This window comes from Homo sapiens, chromosome 1 (genome assembly GCF_000001405.40).
Source record: "Homo sapiens chromosome 1, GRCh38.p14 Primary Assembly".
Taxonomy (NCBI): domain Eukaryota; kingdom Metazoa; phylum Chordata; class Mammalia; order Primates; family Hominidae; genus Homo; species Homo sapiens.
The window spans coordinates 109456456-109464036 of NC_000001.11; positions in this window are offsets into that span (position 1 = coordinate 109456456).

The following is a 7581-nucleotide window of genomic DNA, read 5'->3' on the forward strand; positions in this document are numbered from 1 at the left end:
ACACAAACCTCGTAGAACTAAAATAGGAATGTATAAAGGTCACAGGATAAAGGATTTTTTTTTTGAGACAGAGTTTCACTCTTGTTGCCCAGGCTGGAGTGCAATGGTGCAATCTCAGCTAACTGCAACTTCTGCCTCCTGGGTTCAAGTGATTCTCCTGTCTCAACCTCCTGAATAGCTGTGATTATAGGTGCCTGTCACTACACCCGGCTAATTTTTGGTATTTTTAGTAGAGACATTGTTTCACCATGTTGGCCAGGCTGGTCTCGAACTCCTGATTTCAGGTGATCCACCCGCCTCGGCCTCCCAAAGTGCTGGGATTACAGGCATAAGCCATCATGCCTGGCCTAGGATAAACGATTAAAAGAAAAAAAGTCATTTTTCTATATACTAGCAATTGTCAACTGAAAACTTCAATTTAAAACAATATCATGGCTGGGCATGGTGGCCCACACCTGTAATCCCAGCACTTTGGGAAGCCAGAGTGGGTGGATCACTTGAGGTCAGGAGTTCAAGACCAGCCTGGCCAACATGGTGAAACCCTGTCTCTACTAAACATATAAAAATTAGCTGAGCATGGTGGTGGGCACCTGTAATCCCAGCTACTTGGGAGGCTGAGGCAGGAGAATAGCTTGAATCCAGGAAGTGGAGGTTTCAGTGAGCCAAGATCGCACCCCTGCACTCCAGCCTGGGCAATAGAGCAAGACTCCATATCAAAAAACAAACAAATGAACAAAAAATCATTTATAATGGCTCCCCCAAAATTAAATGTGAGGGGACTCGAAAAAGTGAAATCAAAATATAAAAATTAAAAATATAAACTTTATTTATCAACACAAGCTCCATCAAGTTCAAGATACTTTTGTAAATGATAATATTAATATCAGCCATTGAGTCCATTCCTAAAGAACTGAGGGTCCTGGGAATTTAACCATGTCAATGCAATATTTTTTTACAGCATTAACTGAAGAAAAATAGATGCCCTTTAAAGATTTTTTAAGACTGAGAAACAAAAAAGAAGTCAGAAGGAGCCAAACCAGGACTGGAAGGTAGATGCGTACTGATTTCCCATGGAAACTCTTGCAAAATTGCCTTTGTTTGATCAGAGGAATGAGCAGGAGCATTGTTGTGGTAGAGAACAACTCCGTTGAAGTTCTCCTGGGCGTTTTTCCGCTAAAGCTTTGACTTTCTCAAAGCACTCTCATAAGAAGCAGATGTTATCAAGGCAGGAGGATCGCTTGAGCCCAGGAGTTCAAGACCAGCCTGGGCAACATGGCAAGACTCTGTCTCTACAAAAAAAATTAAAAAAAAATTAGTCGGGTGTGATGGTGCACACCTGTGTTCCCAGCTACTTAGGGACTGAGATGGGAGGATCGCTTGAGCCTGGGAGGCAGAGGTTGCAGTGAGCTGAGATTGTGCCACTACACTTCAGCCCAGATGACAAAATGAGACCCTGTCTCAAAAAAAAAAAAAAAAAAAAAAAAAACTTATCATTCTTTGGCCCTCCAGAAAGTCAACAAGCAAAATGCCCTGTCCATCCCAAAACACTGTTGCCATGACCTTTGCTCTTGACCAGTTCATTTTGCTTTGATTGAACCCCTTCCACCTCTCGGTGGCCATTGCTTTGATTGTGCTTTGTCTTCAGGATCATAGTGGTAAAACCATGTTTCATTGTCTGTTACAATTCGTTGAAAAAAACGCTTCAAGATCTTGATTCTACTTTTTAAAAATTTCCATTATAAGCTCTGCTCTTATCTGCAGATAACAACAGTTTTGGCACCCATTGAGTGGAAAGTTTGTTCAACTTTAATTTTTCAGTCAGAATTGTCTAAACTGAACCAGTTAAGACATTTATGGTGCTGGCTATTGCTTGTGCTCTTTAGTCATTGGTCCTCTTCAATTAGGGCACAAACAAGATTTATTTTTTCCTTGCAAACTGATGTGGATGTCCTGCTGCTGTGGGCTTCATCTTCAACATCTTCTCATTCATTTTTAAAACAAGTTATCCATTTGTAAACTGCTGATTTTTTTAGGGCATTGTTCCCATAAGCTTTTCATAAAGGATTCATGATTTTATCATTCTCTCACCCCAGCTTCGCCATTAATTTAATTTTTGTTCTTGCTTCAATTTTAGCAGAATTCATGTTTCTCTGATAGGGGCTCTTTTCAAACTGATGTCTTATCCTTCTTAGTGTCTCAAACTAGCTCCTGTTAAGATAGGTTATAACAAGTTAGTATGAGTTTATTTTGGTGCAAAAAAGTTTTGAGGCCAGGTGCGTTGGCTTACACCTGTAATCCCAACACTTTGTGAAGCTGAGGCAGGAGGATCGCTTGAACCCAGGAGGTCCAGGCTGCAGTGAGCTGTGATTGCGCCAGTGCACTCCAGCCTGGGCGACAAAACAAGACCCTCTCTCAAAAGTAATAATAATAATAATAAATTAATCAAAATTTTTTTGAAATCCATGCACAGTATTTTCATAATGCACATTGTCTGTGAACTTTTTTAAGACCCCTGTACTTATGTATAAATTTATCAAAACATGTATATGATCAATATGCTTCAAACTGAAGAATGCTGATAAAAGAAATTAAAGACCTAAATAAATCGAGAGGTATATTGTGTTCATGCATTGGAAGGCTGAACATAGTAATGATGTCAATTTTGCCTAAATTGATCTACAGATTTAATGCAACTCCAATCAAAATCCGAGCAGAATTTTTAAATTTTTTAAGTTGATACATAATAGATGTTCATATTTTCAGGGTACATGTGATATTTTGATACAGTCATATAATGTGTAATGATCAAATCACAGTAATTGAGATATCTATTGCCTTAAACATTTATCTTTTCTTCATGCTGGGAACATTCAAATTCTTCTCTAGATATTTTGAAATATGTAACAGGATTGTTTATTACAGTCACCTTACTGATTTATAGAACACTAGGTATTAATTCTTCTACCTGACTGTATTTTTTGTATCTTTTACTCCACCTCTCTTCATTCCTCCTTCCCTTTCCACTTCCTGGCCTCTGGTAACTACCAGTCTACTCTTTTTTTTTTTTTGAGAGATGGAGTATTGTGGTGTTGCCCAGGATGGAATGCAATGGCATGATGTCAGCTCACTTCAACCTCTGCCTCCTGGGTTCAAGCAATTCTCATGCCTCAGCCTCCCAAGTAGCTGGGATTAAATGCATATACCACCATGCCCGGCTACTTTTTGTATTTTTAGTAGAGACAGGGTTTCACCATGTTACCCAGGCTGTTTGAGCTCCTAGCCTCAAGTGATCCGCCTGCCTTGGCCTCCCAAAGTGCTGGGATTACAGGCGTGAGTCACCGCCTGGCCTACCAGACTACTCTTTACCTTCACGAGATCCATGAAGCTTCTCCAAAAACTGTTTGGTAGTTTTTTGTTGTTGTTGTTTTTTCTTTTTTTAGCTCCCATATATGAGTGAGAACAGCCAGCAGAATTTTTTTGTGTGGACAAGCTGATCCTAAAATTTATTTTGAAAGGCAAAGGAACTAGAATAGCTGAAACAATTTTGAAGAACAAAATGGAGAAATCTTATTCTATTTTAACATTCATGATGAAATTAGTGTTCAATACAGTGTGGTATTGGCAAAGGTACAAACAGCTAGGTTAATGGAACAGCATAGAGTCCAGAATTATATTTACACTAATATGGCCAGTTGATTTTTTTTTCACAAAAGTGCAAAAGCAATTCAATGGCAAAAGAATAGTCTTCAAAAAATGGTGTGGGACAATTGGACATTCGTATGTAAAACCTTTTCTATTTGTTATTATTTTTCGAGACGGAATCTCTCTCCGTCACCCAGGCTGGAGTGCACTGGTGTGATCTCGGCTCACTGCAACCTCTGCTCCCCAGATTCAAGCGATTCTCCTGCCTCAGCCTCCCGAGTAGCTGGGACTACAAGCATGTGCCACCACGCCCAGCTAATTTTTGTAATTTTAGGAGAGAGGTTTCACCATGCTGGCCAGGCTGGTTTCGAACAGCTGACCTCTAGCGATCTGCCCAGCTTGGCATTGCAAAGTGCTGGGTTTACAGGCATGAGCCACCAACCCTGGCCATAAAACCTTTTTAAAAAAACCCTGACCTAGGCCGGGTGCCATGGTTAACGCTTGTAATCCTAGCACTTCGGGAGGCCAAGGCAGTCGGATTACCTAAAACCAGGAGGTTGAGACCATACTGGCCAGCATGGTGAAACTTCGTCTATACTAAAAATACAAAAATTAGCCGGGTGTGTTGGCGGGCACTTGTAATCCCCACTACTTGAGGAGGCTGAGACAGAATAATCCCGAGCCCGGGAAGCAGAGTTTGCAATGAGCCAAAATCGCCATTGCATTCTAGCCTGGGGGACAGAGCAAGACTGTCAAAAACAAAAACAGAAAAAACACCCTGACCTAGTCACAGCTACTCAGGAAGCTGAGGCAGAAGAAGCAATTGAGTCGAGGAGTCAAAGTCCATTGAGTCCATGAGTTCAAGTCCAACCTGAGCAACATAGAAAGACCTCCCATCTCTTAAAAAAAAACAGAGAAAAACCTTGACCTGAATCTCATACCTTATACAAAAAAATTACTCAAGCTGTCTAAATATAAAGCATAAAACTATAAACATTTAGAAATCAATTTTTGTTATTGTTTTTGATACAGACTCTCACTCTGTCTCCAGGCTGGAGTGTAGTGGTGCTGTGTCCGGAATTTTTTCTTTCTGGTGGGCTCTTGGTCTCGCTGACTTAAATAATGAAGCCATGGACTCTCACGGTGAGTGTTACAGTTCTTAAAGATAGTGTATCCGGAGTCTGTTCCTTCTAATATTCAGATGTCTCCAGAGTTTCTTCCTTCTGGCGGGTTCCTGGTCTCACTGACTTCAGGAGTGAAGAGGCAGACCTTGACAATGAGTGTTACAACTCTTAAAGGTGGCATGTGCAGAGCTGTTTGTTCCTCCCTGGTGGCATCCTGGTCTCACTGACTTCGCAGCCCCACGTGGTGAGGGTTACAGCTCATAAGTTAGCCTGGACACAAAACCCTAGCAGCAGCCAGCTTTATTTTACCAGCTCTGGTGGATAGCTTTTATTCCCTTATTTGGCCCCCACCCACATCCTGCTGATTGATCCATTTTACAGAGTGCTGATTGGTCCATTTTACAGAGCACCGATTGGTCCATTTTACAGAGTGCCGATTGGTACATTTTTACAGAGTGCTGATTGGTGCGTTTACAATCCTTTAGCTAGACACAAGAGTTCTCCAAGTCCCCAACCGACCCAGAAGCCCAGCTGGCTTCACCTCTCAGCGCGATCTTGGCTCGCTGCAACCTCCGCCTCCTGGGTTCAAGCGATTCTCCTGCCTCAGCCTCTTGAGTAGCTGGGACTACAGGCGCTTGCCACCTTGCCCAGCTGATTTTTGTATTTTTAGTAGAGAGGGGGTTTCACCATGTTGGCCAGGATGGTCTCGATTTCTTGACCTCATGATCCGCCCACCTCGGCCTCCCAAAGGCAAAGAGTTTTTTAGACAGGATGCCAAAAGCATGATCTGTCAACATAAAAATTGGTAAATTAGAGTTCACCAAATGACGGTGTTAGGAGAATTAATAGACACTATAGACTGGGAGGAAATATTTGCAAATCACATATCCAACAAAGGACTTGCATCCAGAATATATAAAGAATTCTCAAAATTCAATAGTAAGAAACAAACAATCCACATTAAAAATAGGCTAAAGATTTGAACAGACACTTCACCAAAGAAAATATATGAGTGAGAATTAGCTAGGTGTGGTGGCACATGCATGTAATCCCAGCTACTCAGGCGTCTGAGGCACGAGAATTGCTAGAACCTGTGAGGTGGAGGTTGCAGTGAGCCAAGATTGCAGTACTGCACTCCAGCCTGGGCGACAGGGCGAGACTCTGTTTCCAAAAAATAAGATAAAATAAACTGTGTGTGTGTGTGTGTGTGTGTGTGAGAGAGAGAGAGAGAGAGAGAGAGAGATAGACAAATAAGCACAGTAAAAGATGTTTAACATTATCAGCCACTGGGGAAATGCATATTAAAACCACAATGAGTTATCATGACATACCTTTTAGCATGGCTAAAAACAAAGCAAAACTAAACTAATACCAAGTTATGGAGAAGATGCAAAACAATGGAGTACGTTGTTGGTGAAAAACAATGCAATGCAAAATGCTACAGCCACTCTGGAAAAAAGTTTGGTACTTTCATATAAAGTTAAACGTACATTTACACATAACCTAGAAATTCCATTTCTGGGTATTTACCCTAGAAATAAAAAACACATCCACACAAAAACCTATATAAGAATGTTTACAGCAGTTCTACTCATTAGAGTCAAAAAAAAAAAAAAAAAAAAAAAAGGAAACAACCCAAATGTACTTCTGCGGGTGAATGGATAAGCAAACTGTGATGGATCATATTTCCTATGAGGGAGTACTACTCAGCAACAAAAAGGAGCAAACTACAAGCAACAGTATGGATGAATCTCAGAAATATTATGCTGAGTGAGAGAAGCCAGACACAAAAGACTACATACTGTAAATTCCATTTATCTGAAATTCTAGAAAAAACAACTGATTTATAATGACTGAAAGCAGATCAAGTGGTTGCCTACAGATTGATTGCAAAAGGGCAGGAAGGGGCTCTTGCGAATGCTTGATATGTTCTGTATCTTGGTCGTGGTGGTGATTATATGGGTGTATACATTTGTCAAAGCTCAAAGTTGAAAATGTATACATCTTATGACTGAGGTGGCTCACTTTTAGGTATAGAGCAATGTTTATCAAGCTGCTGGTAGAGTCCTGCTATTAGTGAATCATCAAATTAATTCCAGTGTGTCTACCTAGAGAGGTATTTATCCTGGAACTAATGAAGCTGAAGCTTCAGCCTCCCACCCTTACAAAACATCTTCCAAGTCCTGGTTACTAATTTTGTATTCAAAATTGTGTACGTTTTCTTTTTTCTTTTTCTTTTTTTTTTTTTTTTAGACAGAGTCTCCCTCTGACTCACAGGCTGGAGTGCAGTGCACGGTCTCAGCTCACTGCAACCTCTGCCTCCTGGGTACAAGCAATTCTCCTGCCTTCAGAGTAGCTGGGATTACAGGTGCTCACCACCATACCCGACTGATTTTTTAGACAGGGTTGCACCACATTGGCCAGCCTGGTCTTGAACTCCTGGCCTCAAGCAATCCACCTGCCTCGGCCTCCCAAAATGCTGGGATTACAGGCGTGAGACACTGCGCCTGGGCAAAATTTTGTACTCTTTTTAAAGGGGGCCCTCAAATTGTATTAACTTTAGGCTCCACAAAACCTGGATCTGCCTCCAGGTGACCAGAATTTTTTTTTAATGAAATGGAATAGAAAATATGAGGGTGTTTTGCAAAACTTTTGTTCCAGTTTATATAGTGGGTCAGGTTGTAAAATTTTATTTCTTACCAGGGTTTGTGGTTTAGCGCACATGTGTGCACACACAAACACACACACAAAGTTGGAAATTCAGTGCTGTGTAGAAATCTATGTACATGTGCACAAGGAGGTCTGTACAAATTTA